Source organism: Homo sapiens, chromosome 4 (genome assembly GCF_000001405.40).
Source record: "Homo sapiens chromosome 4, GRCh38.p14 Primary Assembly".
Classification (NCBI taxonomy): Eukaryota; Metazoa; Chordata; class Mammalia; order Primates; family Hominidae; genus Homo; species Homo sapiens.
Genome location: NC_000004.12, coordinates 157,052,556 through 157,074,478, shown reverse-complemented (window position 1 = coordinate 157,074,478; position 21,923 = coordinate 157,052,556). Strand labels below are relative to the sequence as shown.

The 21,923-nt window shown below is 36.5% G+C and overlaps 1 annotated feature.

Moving 5' to 3' along the window:
• Window positions 928-1,222: a silencer, noted in NCBI's record as "tiled region #1911; K562 Repressive non-DNase unmatched - State 24:Quies". NCBI's record gives its function as "represses a minimal TATA promoter and a strong SV40 promoter by Sharpr-MPRA in K562 cells {active_cell/tissue: K562}" and the evidence as "EXISTENCE:reporter gene assay evidence [ECO:0000049][PMID:27701403]".

Below are 21,923 nucleotides of genomic sequence, written 5' to 3'. Positions count from 1 at the left end.
GAATTCCGATTCCTGTAATAAAATGAACATCTTTTATTTACAAACTCTAATGTCCACATTTGGAAGAACTATGCTGAAAATACCTACAACAGACTTGCTCACCTTCCCTAGTATTGTTTCTGTGCCATCCATGGATGTTATATTGGAGAATTAGGTTATTCAGAAGAAAAGCAAGTCCAGCAGGTTGGATGGGTTTGTAGGGTTTTGGCCCAAAGGTTAAGAAATATAGTTGATGCCCTAAAAGCACTTCTTCTAGCCTGTAAAATGGTCAAGTTCAGAATTCTGAAAATTTTTTTCTATGAAAGTGATCTGCTTACCTATATTTCTATAACTTTTATATCATAGTGTGAAAAGGGATGCTTCTAAATAATGTCATGAAATAACCTATTTTCCCCAATTCTGTCAAGTGTTGATCTACTTTTCTCTATTTATTTCTATCAATATTCACTCCTTTAGTAATTTCATCTGGTCACAAGGTTTTAAACACCATGTTGATAGCTCCCATATGTACTTCTCCTGACTAGACATCTCTCCAGAACTCCAGACTCATCTATCTAACTGCCTTTTCAACATTTCAACTTGCGTATTTAATAAACATGTCAAACTCAGTGTGTCCCAAACTGAGCTATGGTTCTCCCTAAAATCTGCCCCACATTCAGCCTTCTCCTTCTCAGTTCACGGCAACCTCATCCTTAGGGTTGGTCAGGCTAAAAATCATGAAGTTGTTCTTGATTCCGCTCTTTTTCTCACACCTCACAACCAAATCTCTGAGGAAATCCTGTTTACTCTCAAATGACAACAGGAATTCAGCTACTTCTTATGATTTTTACTGCAGCCAACCTAGACTCAGTGACTTTCATCTCTACGTTAGATTACTATAATAGCACTTTAGCTACTCACCCTGCCTCTATCATTGTCCTCTCCTACCCTTGAGTAATCTCAAAACAGTAGCCAGAGTGATCCCTTTAAAACATGTCATAGGTCATATTGTGTCATTCCTCAACTCAACACCCAGCAGTTAGTCCCCATTTTATAAACCAGTGTTTACAATGGTCTACAAACCTTCAATTGTTATGCATCTCCTCCCCCTAACTCTGACTTCTTCTCTCCTAATGGCTCGCTCTCTTTCAGCCCTGCTGATCTTGCTGCTTCTCCAACATGCCAAAGCCAGGTATGGTCCCATCTTAGGTTATTGGCTCCTCTGTCTAAAATGCTTTCCCCCCAGACCACCACATGACTGACTCCCTCATATCTTCAACATCAACCCAGATGTCACCGTCTCACAGAGATTTATCCAATGTTATTTAAAAGTGCAAACCATCTCCCATCCAAAGATTTCCAATCCCCCTTTGCCTGCTTTTCTTTTTGTTTTCATAGTACTTATTACCTCCCAACTCATCATACAATATACTTACAGTTTGTGGCCTCTGTTTCCTTGCTAAAATGTAGGCTTCATGAAGGCAGAGATTTGTATCTATTTTTGTCCATTGATGTTGCCCACACACCTAGAATAGTGTTGAATGAATGTGTAAATCTTGGCCTCATTTATTAATTTCTTCAAATTTCATGTTTCTTTATTAGTAAAATGAAAATGACAATGCATAATTTGCAGGATTGTACCAAGAAATAAACAGGTTAATTGACGTTAAAAATCTGCTGCAGAGAAGAAAAGTCACAAAGAATTAACCTCCCCTATTTTTGCTTGTTTTTATTTGCTTAATGGAATGATAGAATTTTGTTGTGGCTGTTTTTTTTTTAATTATTTTTAATTTTTGTGGGTACATGCATTTTTTGCTTACTGGGACCCTGTTATCCATTTCTTTCTTGTACGTCTACACTGAGAACATTTTGTAGGCCTACATCTAAACACTAAAAACCTTCTAACCTTCTTTTCTTTCTTTTTTCTTTTTTTTTTTCTTTTTGAAACAGGGTCTGGCTCTGTCGCCCCGGTTGGAGTACAGTGGCATGATCTTGATTCACTGCAACCTCCTCCTCTCATGCTCAAGCAAACTTCCTACCTCAGACTCCTGGGTAGCTAAGGACTCTATTTTCTATGCATCCATCTTCACCTGGCCTATAATATATTTATTTTATTTGACTTGATAATAAAACCTAAATACAGCCCTAAATATCTTCTGTTATACTAAGAAATCAAACTTTGGATACAGAGAGAGTATTCTCACCAAATCATTTTTTGTGTGTGACATAAGTACTCATCACTGTTGCCATTGCCTAAATAGCCTTACAACATGGTTTAAAGATATAAATTATTTTTTTCTGTATTCTCTCTACATGAGTCATACTTCCTCTTTAATGACAGCCTGCACTGTAATAGTCATTCATGAAATTTTTCATCAAACTTTCAGTCCATTTACCACTATAATGATCAGATATTTTCAATAAAAGTATGTCCAGCTGTTTTAGATATGGTTCTCCTCCAAATCATCATCTTTAAACATTTATCAAAATAGATAATGGGAGAATAAATATAAATAAAGAGAAAATTACAGCAGAAGATGATGAGAATAGTGGGACAGTAATTCAGCATCTTGCAAACACTGTTCATAAAACTTGAAAGACAGTAAAACTTACATTAGGAAATGTTGATTTGTAGCCAGTCTTATTAGAATAATAAAAACATTATTTGATATTTGATAAAATCACTTCCATATGTTTTCTTCAAATAGCACATTATCCTTAAAATGTTCTGCAATCTCTTATTTTTAAACTAACTTTTAAACAATAATAGCCATCTTTCATTGATTACCTATTAATTGCAAAAAAATTTTCTACATTATGGTTTTAAAACTTCAAAATTTACTTGCAAGTTATTTTCATATCCATATTTTTGATGAGAAACCAGAGGAGAGGCTCAGAAAGGGAATTTAACTTATCCGGAATATTAGACTTGGAAGAGGAAGAGATAGGATTATTTCATCTTTCATGTCCTTTACAACATTAAGACTGACTCCAATTGCACATAGGCAAGTGAAAGAAGCTTAGTTTTTAGTCGTAGATGTCTTTGTACAGAATACTGAATGCAAATTAAAAAATTGAAATCAAAGGGGTTGTTCTTACCTCCAATTCCAGATTGGCCTTAAAGATGAACTAATATGTGAGTCATTTTTTACTTAATATTTTGGCCTTAAAGATGAACTAATATGTGAGTCATTTTTTACTTAATATTTTTTCTGTTCATCATATTAATAATAGCAAAAATAGTAATGACCATCGTCATTGATTGACAGCAAAGTACTTTGAATTTATTATCTCCTCAATACCTTTATGAGGTTAATACTTTTCTTGTTGCAATTTACAGATAAAGATCCCCAGGCATCATATAATTTTTCCGAAGTCAGTTTACTAGTAAGTGATTGAGAGAGATATGTATCTAAATATGTCTGATTCTGGAAGCTGGCCCTTAAAATATTTTTGTGTGACTCTAAATTGTATATTCAATAACGTCTTATGATACACAGAATGACAATACTATTCAACCAAAATACCACACTAATTGTGATGATATGAGAAGAGAGAAGAAATGTGGATAATATATTTCTATTTACAAATTTGAGTGTCACACTGTCTTTCATTTAATTGAGGAAACAGTCCAGAACAATTAAGTAGCCCACGTTAGTATCTACCAATCTGCCAACAGTGCTTACCCCCATGGGGAAGAACCATGTGTGCCTTGATGTGTGTGGACTTAAAACAGATATCAAGAGTGTAATGCATTGTCAAAGTATTCACTGCTATGACACAGCTTTTTAGATAAATTAGACATATATCCTAAGTCCTTAGCAAAAAGTAAAAACACCTTCCTGTATGAAAATGACATGTTATTATTAGTGTATTTCAAGAATATGTCTTAAAAACAAATAAATCTATTGTTATTCAGAGTTCTATTATTAAGGCAGTGTCAATATTCATAATACAGAATCATGAATTTTGGCCAAAATTCTTTACATCCAAGTAGGTATTACCAAGCAACTGTCAACCACAGATCAGTTTGTGCCAGTTATTTATTCTTCTTATTTTGTGGTCAACATGTGATAGGCAGCTCATTCGGGACTGCTCCAAGCCAAACATTGCTTCGAAGCAATGATGACAGTTATTGTGGCAGGAACAGATGACTGGTAACTCAGGCCCACAAATTTCCCAAACAGAATCTCTTCCAAAAGCAGTTTTTACCAAGTCAGAGCGAAGTTATTGTTGACTCTTTTGAATCTGCCCATCAGCATTTTTGCAGATCTGAGAAGAGGTCATGCTATCCTCCACAAGCCAGGATTTCAAGTCCTAAGTGTTCGTGACAACATGTCCTCTTCCCCTGGAATCTAAAATAGATATGTAATCTCAGTTTAATAAGCAATCCAAAAATCTGCCTTTTAGAAGCTTGTCAATAATGTCAATCTTGATTTTTTTTTGTTTTCTCCTTCCTTTAAGACCTAGGTAAACAGTTAATATTGCAGAAGCATTACATGAGGATCATGTAAAGAATTTATTCTTCCAGATTTTCTCATACCAAGACAGTTCAACTGAAAGCTCCAAACATGCAGATTATGAATTCTAAATCTGGCCTCATGGGAAATGTTTTATATTAACCATACCAGTAAAATCCATTTATAATTTTTATATATATGGTATGAGATAAGATGAACAAGAACCAGCACTCTACTTTAGCAACTTTATTAGAATAAGCAAGTGAATAGGCAACAGTCATACAAATAGTACAAATTAGCTATAGAAAGAAAACCATTGCATTTATCAAATTATTAAAGTTTTTAAATAAGACTTTAAAAATAGCTTCCCTGTGCCAGGCCCAGTGGCTCATGCCTGTAACCCTAGCGAAGGTGAGTGGATCGCTTGAGTCCAGGAGTTCAAGACATGCCTGGGCAACATGGCAAAACCCATCTCTACAAAACATACAAAATTTAGCCAGGCACGGTGGTGTGCACACGTGGTCCGAGCTATTCAGGAGGCTGATGTAGGAGGATCTCCTGAGCTCGGGAGGTTGAGGTTGCAATAAGCTGAAATCATGCCACTGCACTCCAGCCAAGGCAACAGAGTGAGATCCTGTCTCAAAAGAAAAAAAAAAAGAATGAAAGAAAAATTAGGCTCACCGAGCAAGCTCTCAACATTTCATCATCACTAAGTATGTACTTACTTAAGTTTGCCAGGGGTTTTTGAGATTATATCTTCCTAGCTGAATTTTAAAAAAAAAATTATCAATAGAATTTATATGTAGTACTGGTGCAGAGGTAGAAGAACATTTGTTATGGGGTAATAACATCAGCAAAGAGGTAAAAATACAGTTCTGAGGCTGGCTTGGCTGGGAAATGTGCAAAAAGGAAAGTTTCTAACCCATTAGGTTGGGTTAGAAAAAAAAAAAAGGGACCAGAATAAAATGTTTGGAGAAAATTCTACAGGTTAGCATTTTTTAAAGCATGTTCGATTCAACATTAGCCCTCAGGATGCTTCATGGTGGGGGTGAAAAAAGAAAGAAAGAGAGAAATCAATGAAAAATATTGTCTTTCTCTTAAGATTTATAAAGTATTTCTGAGATTTATAAGTATTTTAGCATATTAATTTTTGTTGTTGCTTTTTAAACATTAATTTTTTTTATAGAGACAAGGTCTCACTATGTTTGTCCAGGCTGGTCTCAAACTCCTGAGCTCAAGTGAACCTCTGGCCTCAGCCTCCCAAAGTGCTAGGTGCTTACTGCCGTGAGTGACCACACCTGGCCTGTTATATTATAAATTTTTTAAAAATTGTCAATATTGTTTAACCGAGTTCAATGGACTGAATGTTTTTGTACCCTAAAAGCTCCTATGTTATAGTCCTTTCCCCCATGTGACAGTAGTAGGAGGTAGAGCCTTTGTGTGGTAATTAGGTCATGAAGGTAGGCCCTTATGAATGGAGTTAGTGCCCTTATAAAAGGGACCCCAGAGAGCTCTCTAGCCCCCTTCCTCCATGTGAAGACACAGCAAGACTGCTATCTGTGAACCAGAAAGTGAATTCCTACCAGACACTGAATTGGTAGACACCTTGACCTTTGAATTCCCAGCTCAACTGGCAGGAAAGGGAATATAAATTGTGGTTAGAAAATTTCAGGAAAAACTTTCTTACAGGTAGCCTGAACTACTTCACTGTCCTTCTGCTACATTCCCTTGACAAAATTCCAATAGTGGGTAAAGCCTACTACCTGCTTTCTCCAAACTGAGTCAACAGATTAATTATGCAGTAGAATACAGATGGTCTTTAATTTAAAGTGGTTGGACTTAACAATAGGTTTATCAGGATATAACCCCATCAGAACTCAAAAAGCTTCTTATGAACAACAAGGTTTCTACTGAATATGTATCACTTTTGCACCATCGTAAAGTTGAAAAATCATTAGTAGAAACACTGTAAGTCAGAGACCATCTGCTCTGTTCCCAGCATTAAATGCATTTTGACTTATATTACTTTTGGACTTAAGGTGTGTTTATTGGGACATAACCTGATGTAAGTGCAGATGCATCTGTAGTTTAATTGTCATGTATAATAGAGAAACCCTTTATATGCTCAGGAATTTTATTATGGTAGCTCTTGTTTTCCATGGTTATTTCATACATTCTCCACTCTCCTCAAACCTCCAAGCATATTTTTCCTCCTCAGTCTCAAGAGATGAGAAAATGGAAGCCATCAAAATGGAAATGCTTTCAAGTTCATTCAACAAATCTACTTATGCTATGAATTTTTCTTTTCTCCTTCTATTCTGTTAAGATAAAACATTTCTTCTGTGTTTCTTCTGTCCAAGATCAATTCCTCCACCTGTGCTTTGAATCTTATCCACCTCTCATGAATTCAGGAATTCTGATACATCAGTTTTCCTCTCCCTTCTCTTTACCTGTGTCTTTACCCTTTCCACTGACTCCATCTTTCAACAGACAAAAGTTTCCAACATTTAAAATGAAAACCTTGTTCCGCCCCAGCCTAAGTATGAAGCACATTCAAGTTCCACTCCTGGCCCTCAACAGCCAGGCCTTCAAGAGCAAACACTTGCAAACCCTCTGTCTGTCTTCATTTTCTTACACGTCTCTCAAATGTATTGTAATTCAGTGTCTTCCACTGCACGTGCCCTGCTCAAACCAGCATCACCAACAATTTGAACATTCTAGAATTTTTACCTTGTTTGACCTCTCTTCATCCCTTGATGTAGCAAATGGTTCTCTCTTACATGAAAATTGCTCTTCCTTTGACTCTCTCTTCTCTGCTTCCTTTGGCTATTTATTCTTCATCTCATTTATAGGTTTTTATTATTCTACCCATTTCTTAAAAACTGATGGTCCTCAAATTTCCTTCTCAGGACCTCTGGTCTTCTCACTCTACATAATCTCTCTGTTCATTTCATCTACTTCTATCACTTCAAGTAGCATCTCTATTTGTGAATATCTGAGTCAGTTCAAGCTTCTATAATAGAATACCATAGATTGAGCACATTAAACAACAACCATTCCTTTCTCACAGTTTTGGAGGCTGGGAAGTCCAAGATCAGGCACCAGCAGATATTATGTCTGATGAGGGGCTGCTTTCTGGTTAGCAGGCATCTGTCTTTTCATTGTATTCACGCATGGCTGAAAGATAAATCATCTCTGGTGTCTATTTTATAAAGGGACCAATCCCATTCATAAGAATTGCACCCTCATGACCTAATTACTTCCCAAAGGTCTCACTTCCTAATACATCATCACATTGAGGGTTAGTATTTTAACATATGAATTTGAGGGGGACACAAACATTCAGTCAATAATAATTGATGACCTAAAAGTGTCTTTTAGCCCAGAATTATCTGGGAGTTTCAGAACTATATCACAACTGCTTCCTAGACATCTCTATTAGAGGATCTTGCCAGAATTCGAAATTAGAAATATACAATCCTCTGCAGATCTTTCCAAACTTCTCATACTCCAGGGCTTAATATTTCAATAAAAACTACTATTATGTATCCAGTTTCCCCAGTCACCTTGTACCATGTGCAACTGCACGCATTATACTTCAGTCCATTCACCTCTTTCTCTTCTTCCAAAAAGCCAAACCTATCTCCACCTAAAGGCCTTTACAATTGTGCATTTTATGAGGAATGCTCTTTTACCAATTCTTCCTACAGTTAGAGTGTTCTCATTTATCATTACCTGAAATGTGTTCTTAGCATTTCCTGTCCCCCTAATTAGCATCACATGTTACTTTCCACCTCATTATGCTATTTGGTCTCCTTACAGCCCTTATCACGGCCTGCAATTGTCTTGTTTGTTTCTTTACTTGTTTGTCTCCTCCACTAAAATGTAAGGTCTCTTAGAGATTATGCCTATCTGAATCATCACTGTATCTTCTGCATTTAGCACTGTCATGGTGACATAATAGAAACTTAATAATTTTTTTAATAAACTTATTAGATATTTCCCTAGGTTGAAATGCAGAAGGCTACACAGGTAACCCAGGAAAGGCTAATCAAAGCTATAAATAGAAATGTGTCTACAGCTAATAATCCTTGATGGTAAATATACCATTGGACAACATAGTGAGACTTCATCTCTACAAAAAATAAACAAAATTAGCCAGGCATGGTGGCACATGCCTAGTTCTAGCTACTCAGGAGGTTGAGGTGGGAGGATCACTTGAGCCAGGGAGGTAGATGGTGCAATGAGCTGAGATCGTGCCACTGTGCTCCAGCCTGAGCAACAGAGTGAGATCCTGTCTCAAACAAAAAAAAGAAACAGGCCAGGCGCGGTGGCTCACGCTTGTAATCCCAGCACTTTGGGAGGCCAAGGTGGGTGGATCACGAGGTCAGGAGATTGAGACCATCTTGGTTAACACGGTGAAACCCCATCTCTACTAAAAATACAAAAAAAATTAGCCAGGCATGGTGGCGGGCGCCTGTAGTCCCAGATACTCAGGAGGCTGAGGCAGGAGAATGGTGTGAACCTGGAAGGCGGAGATTGCAGTGAGCCGAGATCGCGCCACTGCACTCCAGCCTGGACGACAGAGTGAGACTGCGTCTCAAAAAAAAAAAAAAAAAAAAAAAAAGGAAACATACCACTGGAATATTGTATTGTACAGTGAGATCTTTTACTAATTTATTTAATTAAATCAATTAAATTACCTTTGCTGAAAGGAAAAATAAGTAAATTGAGTTCTTTAATTTTATTTTTCATACCCATGGGGATAATTCAGAAAGCCAAGAAGTGGAAATAAAATGGATACTTCTACACCTCACTTCCTTTTATAAACTTGATGCTTCACCTAAATTTTATTGAGCACTGTAGGGATAAACTGACGGGCTAAGTAACCTGCATTTAATTTTATAATTAAAAATAAAGGAGTGGGTTAACAAGTGTTCTAATTCTGAAGCTCCACATCTACATTTATGCTTGCCTTTTGCTAGCACTTTCTTTTTTCCTACTTACATGACCAACTGACTTTATTATGTCTAGGAGGAACAAGATTAAAGACTACACAAGATGGCTATGGATTGGAAATTGCTTTACCTAAGCTCAATACTATGTTAGTTTGCTAGGGCTGCCATAACAAAATACAGTTATACACATTGTTTGCCATAACAAAATACAGTTAGCTGTCCATATCTGTGGATTCCACATTCATGGATTCAACCCACCATGGATCAAAAATTTTTGAAAAAAAATTGCATCTGTACTAAACATGTGCAGACTTTTGTCATTATCCCCTCAATAATACAGTATGATAACTCTCTACATAGCATTTGCATTGTATTAGTTATCATAAGTAATCTATTTTTAAATTTGCATTTTAAAAAATTTAGGTTAATTAAATTTTCTCCAGCAATGGGACTGGAGAAGGAACAAAGAAAACTGTAACTAGTTGTAATTAATTAGTTGCAAATACTACTGCACTCAGACCAGCCTATTATAAGTAATCTAGAGATTGCTTAAAGGATACAGGAGGATGTGCATAGGTTATATGACAATACTTCATCTTTTATATCAGCGACTTGAGCATCTACAGATTTTGGTACTCGTGGAAGGTTCTGGAACCACCCCCCCACAGATGTTAGAGGAACCACTGTACCACAGACTGGGAAGCTTAAACTACAGAAATTTGTTTTGTCACAGATCTGGAGGCTAGAAGTCAACGATCAAGGTGCTCGCAAGGTTAGTTGCCTGTGAGGCCTCTCTCTCCTTGGTTTGCAGGAGATGGTCCTCTTGTTGCTTCTTTACAGGATTATCTTTCTGTGTATAGGAGTCCTTAGTGTCTCTTTCTCGTCTTGTAAGGACACCAGTAATATTGGATTAGAGCTCGACCCTAATGGGATCATTTTAGTTTAACCACCTCTTTAAAGACCTTGTCTCCAAAAATGGTTACATTCTGAGGTATTGGAGTTTCAGGATTTCAACATATCAATTTTGAGGGGGACGTAATTCAGTCATGATAAATACTATAAACAAATGTAAAAGGAAGCATAGTGAAGACTCTTACAACTTTACTGACTACTTATATATTAGCATATTAATTTATTCCCTATTCTGAACGTAGAGGCAAAAGTTGCAGACCTATTATAATAATTAGGTTTTGGATATAGCACCTGAAGTAAATACCAGATATGTGGATAGGACTTTGAAGAAGCTGAAATGGAGAAGACAATGGTGAGAGAAATTTCAAAAGAAGGATCTGTGTGCCTTGGTAACTGATTGCGAATTGTGAATTATGGTAAAAACCACTCAAAGACAACGTGTAGTTTTTGAATTCACATGACCAGGTGCTTGATGGGATATTTACAGAATTATGAAATAAGTGGAGAGGTACAGTTGTGGAAAGAAAGATAAAGTATTCTATTTCAGATGAATTCAGATTGAGGCACCAAATGATGATTTCTAATAGGCTATTAGGAATGAAAGACCCGGCTGGGTGCAGTGGTTCATGCCTGTAATCCCAGCACTTTGGGAGGCTGAGGCAGTTGAATCACTTGAGGTCAAAAGTTCGAGACCAACCTGGCCAACGTGGTGAAACCCCGTCTCTACTGAAAATACAAAAAATTAGCCAGGCGTGGTGGTACGCACCTGTAATCTCAGCTACTTGGGAGGCTGAGACAGGAAAATCACTTGAACTCGGGAGGTGGAGGTTGCAGTGAGCCAAGATCGTGCCGTTGTGCTCCAGCCTGGGTGAGAGTGAGACATCATCTCAAAAAAAAAAAAAAAAAAAAAATAGAAAGAAATGAAAGACCCTACACTCAGGAGAGTGTCAGAGATAGAGATGTAATATAACGTACCATACCAACTGATACACAAAGGGAAAATGAAAATACAGGAAAGAAAGTCCAGTTTTATCTTTGGAGATGCACTTAGAAGAAGAAAGAGAGAAATCACGGAAGTGAAGAAATGACAGAGTTTGAAAAAGTGTAATTATCAGAGCCAAAGGCTGCAATTCATCATCTTCAGTGAGTATGATGGGGTTCACAGGAAAATGAGGTATGGATGGAGTAAAGAACTAAAGGCAAGCATGAGTCAGTTACTTTGTACCAGAAACTTTATGTACAATATCTCTCATTCTGAAGGTAGATATATTTCTTTTTTTCTGTGCATTAGGGTGAGGATTAAAATGTAGCCCTTTTATCTTTTCATATCCTGCTATATGTAAATAATTTATAGCAAATTATCTAGATAGAACTTAAAAATATGGAAGTCAAAACAGTACTGAAGGGAAAATAGAATTGGTAACAAATGATAAATAAATAGGTAGACAGTTGGACATATAGATCAATCTACTGTGAAAACAAAATCTTACATTTGTCAACATCACATATGGGTCATCAATAGGAGGAAATTTCCATAATCATCCATGGAATTCATGATTACTCAAAATTGATTGTCCCAAGTGAAAACTTTTTATCCCAGGACAAAATAGTCAACTACACTTTTGATAAAGATTTATCTCTTATTCTTGTGTTCCATATATTTTATTTATTCATTCCAATTAATTCATTTCATTGCCCTATACTTTCCTTTGTAAATTAATGAAACCTAGGGTCTCACTATCACAAGTGTGTGAAGGTAGAAGGATGAGAGCTAGAATGATAATCAGACAGCAGTATTTTTTTATTCAACTTTTATTTTAAGTTCTGAGTACATGTGCAGGATGTGCAGGTTTGTTACATACGCAAACGTGTGTCATGGTGGTTTGTTGCACAGATCAACCCATCACCTAGGTATTAAGCTCAGCATCCATTAGCTATTCTTCCTGATGCTCTCTCCCCACCCTACCACAGTCCCCAGTGTGTGACAACAGTATTTTTTAAAAAAAAATAGGTAAGAAAATTACTCATTAAAAATACCACATAGCTCATTTTGATTTTATATTTCTTTTTTATTTTTCTTCTTTTCTTTTTTTGAGACAGAATCTCACTCTGTCAACCAGACTGGAGTGCATTGGCACAATCTTGGCTCACTGCAACCTCCACCTCCTGGGTTCAAGCAATTCTCCTGCCTCAGCCTACCAAGTAGCTGAGATCCCAGGTGCTAGCCACCACGCCTGGCTGATTTTTGTATTTTCAGTAGAGACAGGGTTTCATCATGTTGGCCAGAGTGGTCTTGAACTCCTGACCTCAGGCTATCTGCCTGACTCAGCCTCCCAAAGTGCTGGGATTACAGGTGTGAGCCACCGCGTCTGGCCTAATTTTATATTTCTTTTAATAAAAACATTTTTTGGCTATTTACTATGGATTAAATATTAGGTAGAAAGCTATAATATGGAAACTAGTAAGAACCTTCTGTAAAATGGTCTAAAGTGGGAGAAACAGACTGATGCTCATAAACAGTGTGGTAAGAGTTGTTCTATAGGCAAGCATCGAGAAGTCTGGAAGCAGGAAGCCCTCTCGGGGGAATCAAAGGTTTCTCAAAAGAGATGACTTGGATGATCCTTGCAAAATAATTAGGAGTTCGCTGGATTAAAGTCCTTTTGGTGCAAAGATTTTGATTCCACACAGTTAGATCACAATGTGTATGGACACTTGAATTAGGCATGAGCCAAGTGGGCATTAGTCAGAACATCAGTATTGCTGGAACATTGCAGGAAAGTGGGAAAAGATAAAGCCAGGGAGGTAAAAATGATCAGATAATGAAGAACATTGAACACCATGCTAAAGAGTTTCTTTTTACCTTGTTCTGAAGATTAGGAGAGCCATTGAAGAATTTTAAGTAGGAGATAAAACACGACCAGATTTATATTTAAGCAGTATGATTAGCAAAAGAACATGTTGATTTTGAATTGTTTCCAAATATTAAAGAATTTCATTAAAATAGATTAAGCAATGTAATGAATTTACTCTGAGTAAATCTTTTTAAAGTAACATTCTGACTCTAAAATCACACACCATTGTTATTTCAGTTTTGTGCTATATTAATTCCCTTTTGGTATTTTTATTAAAATAGTTGTACAACTCATTTAAGGATTTTTTTATGAAATTTTTAAAAACTTTAAATCTCTCCATTAATAAATTCTGTAAAAAACTTGCATGCCAGTCGATCAATATCCTCAATTGATAACTGGCTCTATTTCAGTGAATTTGTTAAATAATTTTATATCTAAATAAATTAATAAACAATGGCACTGGCAAGAATGGCTGCTGTAACACAAATCAGTGTTATCCAAGGAACTTCCACCTCTACTGCTATGACTACAACCTGGGGTCCCTGGACCACCAGAAGCTTGATGTCAGATGGGAGGCAGATATATGCAAAATAGGAGTTTACTTGCATGCAACAGACAGGCTTATATAGGAAATATTTAAAGAGGAGGAAGACAGACATTTATATGCCAGGCTTGAAATTAGAGCATCCCTGGGGAATCTTTTTAACTAGATTAATGAATCAAAGAAGATTTCATCTAGCAAGTTTTAGAAAAAATCTTTAACACAATAAAGACAGAATTCCTATCTATTGAATATAAATCTCTGTTCATGGATTTTGGGAAGTTTCAGATGAATCATATGTTTAGATGTTATAAGGACAATGTATTAATCTTTTTTCTAGTATGGAATATAATGGTCTCTATATAGGAAAACAAATAAATAGAAAGAGAGTTGTGTCTATGCTCCTTTAGAAAGTTAATATAGTTTTAAATTTTTGCTTTTGCATGTTATCAAAAGAAAAGTAGGAATTTCCAGAAGTAATTGTTCATTTATCACCGTTCCATTTTGGTTAGTATAAGTCCTAGGGAAAATATGTGCAACTGATTGAGTTAATTGTTTCCATTTGAAAACCAAGACAGGATGTCTCAGCCAGATGCCAGTTCAGGTACAGTGTTACTGATGGGACGGCTAAATGTAATAGTGGCTTTATTAGGCTAGTGAAAGAATAAGTTTTAAATTTTACTATAAATGACACTTAGTGCAGTTTCACTGATTTTATTATGAACATTTAAATCTGCTTTGAACAAATGTGTAGCTCCAATTGGTAATGGATCTGGAAGAGGATGTGAAAAGTCAGCAAGAAAGAGGAAGTAGGCCAAAATTTAAGAAGGTCCAAAGAAACTGGAATGTTAACATGTGAATAAAACTCACTAAATTTAATAACATTTCCATTGTTTTTGAAGTAATATATTTCATTATATCCATATTGACAAGTAGATGAAAATACATTTCAAGAAATAGGTCTCTTCATTTCCACAGTTTATCAGGACAATGTTATCTTGTACATAAATAGGACAGTATTGGCTTGAGGGCTTTAGCTTGGCCAGATACAAAATGGTAATTGAAGAGCTCTTTTTTTTTTTTTTTTTTTGACATAGTCTCCTTCCTTGTCATGGAGGCTGGAGTACAGTGGTGTGATCTCGGCTCACTACAGCCTCTACCTCCCAGGTTCAAGCGATTCTCCTGCCTCAGCCTCCTGAGTAGCTGGAATTACAGGTGCCCGCCACCACACCCAGCTAATTTTTGTATTTCTTTTAGTAGAGACGGGGTTTCACCATGTTGGCCAGGGTGGCCCCAAACTCCTGACTGCAAGTGATTCGCTCACCTCAACCTCCCAAAGTGCTAGGATTACAGGCATGAAGCCATTGTGCCTGGCCTGAAAAGCTTTTCTAATACATAGATAAAGATATATTTCTGTACTTCAGCTAATTCAAATGTGAGGATCGTGTTTACTTATAAAAGCCAAAATATAAAAATACTTCCAACTTTTTTAGGCATACATTACTGTATTTAAACAGACTTCAATATAAAGAAGTTACTTTTAAACACTTTTGTTATTTGAGAAGATGGAAAAAATAATAACCAGCATGAGAGTCTATAAAAATGACTTTTTTTTTTTTTTTGACAGAATCTTGCTCTGTCACCAGGCTGGAGTGCAGTGGCGTGACCTCGGCTCACTGCAGCCTCCACCTCCCTGGTTCAAGCGATTCTCCTGCCTCAGCCTGCTGAGTAGGTAGGACTACAGGCACATGCCACCACACCCAGCTAATTTTTGTATTTTTAGTAGAGACGGGGTTTTACCATGTTGGCCAGGATGGTCTCCATCTCTTGACCTAGTGATCCGCCCACCTCAGCCTCCCAAAGTGATAAAGATGACTTTCTATGTTACTAACGAATCCTTCTTTTTAAAAATTTTCTCTTTGTTAATTACTCTGTATGTGTTTTGAGGAGCCGGAGCTGGGTTAAGAAAATAGAGGGGAATCTGGGGCCGAGGGATACAGTTTAGCAGATTGTTTAGGAGAATCCCACAGTCATTTAAATGTCCCCTTTTACAAGGAGGCTCCACAAGGAGTAGCTTTCATGTGATGTGTTTTCCAATCACAAAAGACCAGGCAGTCTGAAAAGAGAATCTGCATGAGAAAATTAGGGCGATGACATCCCATGCCATGGCTTTCATGGAAGAACTGTTTCTACCTGCTTTGTAATCATAGCACAGGGAAAAACAGAATACTCTTAGTTCATATGTCTCCCTAAGTAAAGAACTGTGGCAGGAGAATGGGAAGCCAGGAGAAGAATGCAACTTACTGCTCTATTCCATGAGGATCTCAAAAATCTGGAGGCTTCCAAGCACAACCACTTGATCTGTGGATTATAGCAGGCCAGACCATTGTCTCCTAGCCAGCAGGTGACAGAATTCATTTTTAACCTTTTACCACCTGGGTAAAACATTACCCAGATAGGAGTAAGGAAAAAAAAAATAAACTCTTAGATGATCCAAGAACACATTTAAAGGAAATTATCAAAGAACAAAGAAGAGGTTTTAAAACTTAAAAACAACAACATGATTTTTGTATATTACAAAAAGGTTAACAGAGGAAGTAAAAAAGTAGATTGCTAAAAACAAATGATCAATTTGGAAAATCAAACGTCAGAATCCTGAAATGACAAAGAAAAGAGACAGGTGGAAGATGCAACGACAGTGTGGCAGTAATGGGTTGAATTATCCTATTAAAATACCAGATTGCATTTAAAAAAGAAACAAAATTCAGCTATGTGCTTTTTACAAGGAGTGAAACAAAAACAAAATTACATAGACAGATGGCTAAACATAATAAGATGACTACACATGTTCTAAACAAATGATAATTTAAAAATCAGATAAGTGAGATATAATACTAAAACCATTAAATGAGCCCCCCCACCCCGCCAAATGTATATTTATCGTGATAAAGACTGGATTCAGGACTTCCAGTTTTAGCTCCAAGGTATAAAGTGCTTGGAAGTTGTCACTCCTGTCCTTCAACAAGAAAAAGTTGGATAAAATGAAAATCAATGACTTTTTTTAGCCCTATCGGAGAACTAAGTTTGCCATGCAGACCTCTACCCTGGAATCTGGAGAGAGGAAAATTCAGTCTGAGCTGAGATCTGCTTACCTAGAGTAGAGCTATTAAAAATATAAACTGCTAAGGACACTTAAATGGTAATTTTGACAAATTGCTAGAGACTGAGTGCAGACTAACATGAGAGGGAGATATTCCCAGGGGCTCCATACTTCATGAGCTTTTCTTCCCTGATCTCTACCAGGTTCTCACAATGAAGACTGGAGAAATATCGTCCTTGCTCTGGCAAGGGGAGGGGAAAAGTAATCACTGTGGAATATGGGTTTCTCCATAACAAAGACCTACTCTCCAGGGAAAAGACCTTATTCCAGAGCTGCAGAGGAAGAACATTCCTCTTACTCCAGCCTCCTCTAGCTTTTCTGTCTCAGCTAGGAAGGGAAGTTATACAAGAAGAAACCCCTGTGAAGCTCACAGGCCAGAGACACAGGCCCCAGTAAAAGACCAAGATTTAATTAGAAGATTATGGAATGTTTTTCTATACCTACCTTACCACTGCACCCAAAGAAGTCTTGTATCATAGTGAATTTCAGCTGAGAAACAGACTGTAAGGAAGGGTATAGTAGTTCCCCCTTATCTACAGGGGATCTTTTCCCAGACCCCCAGTGGATGCTTGAAATCGTTCATGATACTGAACCCTATCCATACTATGTTTTTCCCTATATGTACATGTGTATGAGAAAATTTAACTTAAAAATTAAGCAAAGTAAAAGGTTAATGACTATTATAATGAAACAATAATTCTAACAATATAATGTCATAAAAGTTATGTAAACGTGGCCTCTTGCTCTCTCAAAATATCTTATTCTACTATATTCACCTATTGTTGGACTATAGTTGATGGCGGGTAGATGAAACTGCAGAAAATAAAACTGTGCATTACAAGGGACTACTATAAGCCCAAAGTCAAGAAGGAAGTCAAAAATAAAAACACTCAAGCCAAGCTTTTGGCACCTATAGCTACACCAAATGTAAATAAAGCCCAGCTCCTAACCAGATTAACATGAAACTTTATTCCAAAGGCCTACTTACCTCTGTTCCTATAACCAATAAAACATGTCCAGCATTCAACAAAAAAATTACAAGGTACAGCCAAAAGCAAGAAAAAATAACAGTCTCAGATACAATACACATGTCACAATCATCAAACAGGGAATTTAAAATAACTATGATTACTGTAGTAAGGGCTCTAACGGGAAAAGTAGCAACACGCAACATCAAATGGGTAACATAAAAGTGAAAGATGGCAATTCTCAGCAACAATAAAAAGAAAATGTGGAAATCTAACGGGAAAAGTAGCAACACGCAACATCAAATGGGTAACATAAGTGAAAGATGGCAATTCTCAGTAACAATAAAAAGAAAATGTGGAAATGTGACAATATTGTAATAAAAATGGAGAATGTCTTTGATAAGCTCATTAGTAGATTGGACAAATAGATTACACAAAATAATTAAAACAATCACAAATGTTTATGCATCATACACTATAACTAAGGCATAATAAAAATTTCTATAAGGAAAAAAAGAAGTACACAACTCAACGGAAGTAGTGAAAGATTTTACCATGCTTCTTTCAAATCAAGCAGACAATAAAAAGTGAAAGATACAGAACTTTAATGACACAAGTAACATGACATATAATAATTGAGATTTTATAATTGGTTAAAAAGAAAATAAATTTACCAAAACATAAAATAATCCATAGATAATCTTATCAAAACCCCCAATTATTTGCCCCTACCATAGGTGACAGTGGCTATTTATAAGGCCACAACGAATAATTCAACTAATTCCATGCAAAGGAAACCATATAGCCCTGATTTTTAAGCCAAAATTCAATAAACTAGAAGTTGACTATAAATAACTGGAACATAATACAAACACATAAACTCCTTTACTTACAAAATTAAAACATACTTCCAAATGAACTTGAGTCAAAGAGCTTATTAAAACTAGAAACATAAACTTTAGAAAGTAATCATGAATATTTATATTTCAAAAGTAATGGACTTAATCCAAAGCAGTATTGAAAAGAAAATTTATAACTATAAATGCATTTATTATAACACAATAAAATTTTAAATAAATGGTTTAAGGATTCAATCCAAGATATGATTTTTGAAAGGTTATTTCCTTTAAATATAAAAGGAAACAAAATCAAAAGCAAAAATAAATTAAAATAAATAATGAATTATACAAATCAAGTAAAATAACTTCTGGTCAAGCCTAATCAAAACAAAAAATATTAGAAACATTATTAGTAAAAAGAAAAGAAACAAAGTGTAAAGATAAAGTTTAAAAGCAATAGGATGACATTCAAGGAGATATGTAAATGATCAAAATTGACTCAAGAAGACTTAAAAAAACACAAAATACCAATAGTCATAGAATGTATTACTAGATTTTCTATTGCAAAGGTTGAGAAACTTTTTTCTGTAAATGGCTAGATAATGAATATTTGAGACTTTGCCAGCCGTGCTGTCTCTGTGGCAAATACTCAACTCCCACATTGCAGCATGAAACCAGCCAGGGGCAATTCATGGGTAAGACTGTAATCCAAAAATACAGGTGGCAGGATGGAACTGGCCTGAGGGTACTAGGTTACTCGCCTGTATCTAATGTCAACTCAGATCCTTGCCACTCTTTGCTAAGATCTCCTCTGCATTTCAGAAGAGAATCCTGAAATAATGTTTTCCAGAATCCATTTACCAGGGTGGTTGTCGGTTAGCGACTACCCATGAAAGAAACTCACATGTGATATAAATAGTGAAGCAGGCAGAAGTCATAGTTGTTGAGAGTAAACTGCAGGCAGTCCATCAGTGCTTGTGACTGGGTGGGTTGTTTGCCCAATTCTGGAATTCAGTTAGCAAGCCCATTTGGCTCTCATACCAAGCTACATCCTGTAGCTTAGATATTTCCAGTAAAAATAGATATCTTGACCTCCACTTCCATTCCTTTGTTTTCTTTATTAATTTGTTTAGAACTCCTGAAAAGAAGAATGGTCCAGTTGGGAGAACACCACAAGATACCAACAGTTTTTTTTTTTTAAACCTTCAGTAACAGATAATACTTATAGTGAATGTAACATATGAGAATGTTGTATTTACCATAGATATTTAAAAATAGGTAGCATATTTCAAAAGGCAGAAGTTTTCAGTGCAGATAAAATGAGAAAATGTAACTTTAAAAAATTCTGTGTATAAGAGGAACAAGAAAAATAAAAACTTAGGAATAAAACCTAATATAAATAAGCAAAATCTACATCAGTAAAACTGTAAAACTCTATTGAAGCATGTAAAGAAAGAACAAAGTAAGTAAACAGTCATATCATAATCCTAAATGGAAATGATCAATATTATGAAGATGTTAACACTTTCCAAATTAATCTGTAAAGCCATGGAATTATCAATATGATAAGAATGTTCACACTTTCCAAATTGATCTATAAAGTCAATGACATCCTCAAACACATCCAAACAAGATTTCTCTGTGGAACTCAAATTTATTATTAGAACACCTGGAAGAGAATACCATAAGAATATGCATAAAAATAATACCTAAAATCATGTTTTTGAAACCATTATACAAGGATTTCTCAACCTCAGCACAGTGGAAATTTGGGGCAAGTTACTAATTCCTTGTTGTGGAAGGCTGTCCTGTGTATTTTGGATGTTAGCAATATTCCCTACCTCCACCAACTGAATGACAGTGAGATCCCATGCCTCAGTTTTAACAACCAAAAATGGATCCAGACATTGCGAATTCTCCTGGGGCAGCGAATACTCTATTCCCCTAGCTGAAGCCACTGCAGTATAGATACAAAAGATCAATGAAACAGGAGAAGGGTCCGGAAATGATTTCATGTATGTATGGGAATTTAATTTATGATAAAGGTGGCATTTCAAATTAGCATGGAAAAGATGAACTCATCAATAAATAAGCTTGAAATAATCAACTCTACATTTGGAAAAAAAAAGTGTTAAATCATTTTTCGCACCAGCACCAAAATAAAATCCATGTGGATTAGAATCTAACTGTTAAACAACAACTACAACGAACAACCCTTGGGCCCGCGAATTTGCAGAGGCAGAAAAAGTAAAGTGTGTTGTGAAGGTGATTCCACCACCAGGGAGAGCGCACTCCTCAATTCTCAATTTAGAAGCAGCCGTGGAGAGGAACGGACAAGGAATAACTTTCAAAAAAGCCCAGCCAGGAACCACAAAGTACTTGGACAAGAAAGTATGTCCCAGCAAGCAGAATCAGCGACTCATCAAGAAAGTTCTGGAAAGAAAGATCTGGAAATGCAGCCCGCTAGAATTTCAGCATTGCTGAAAACTGGCATTTACTATGTGTTTTCTAATTTTTCTTTTTTTCTCTCTCTCTTTTTTTTTTTAGTTTTTTATTTTGTTTTTTTTTTTAGTTTTTTTTTTTTAAATTATACTTTAAGTTCTAACTAAACACCGCATGTTCTCACTCATAGGTGGGAACTGAACAATGAGAACACTTGGACACAGGAAGGGGAACACCACACACTGGGGCCTGTCATGTGTTTTCTAATTTTTCTTTTTCCAAATGGGAGTGTTTATTATGGTATTCTACTCCAATATATTGTAGGTTTTTGTGTGAGGTGGGGGGGGGATAGGGAAGAGCAGATAACTTGTTTTTTAAGTTCATGGATAACTAGATCACAAGGAGCCACATCTGGACTTCATGGAGAAACAGCACATGACCTAGACATCCCTGCACTTTGAACTTGATGAAATTTTCTTGTCTCCCTTGGGGAGGAGATGTGGTAAACTTGTACCGTGCCAGTCTAGCAAACCACAAAATTCTGAGAATTCCCTTCCCTGCAAAGTTTCAGGTTAGCTTGTGCCACAAGAAGCATTTTGTATGAGATTCCGAAGGGAACAGGAAGCAGCAGCCCGATTCTTTGCATGCTCGGGTCCACTCTAGAGGTCCAGCACTGCTGCAGCTCACAATGCAGCGATCTGCCAGCTCCCCTCCTTGGTTTGAGGCGGCAGCCAGCCAGCAGCTTCTTCCGTTCCCGACAGATCTCCTCCTTCAGCTTCTCTGGTTCTGGGGCAGGTGTGTGTGTGGCTCCA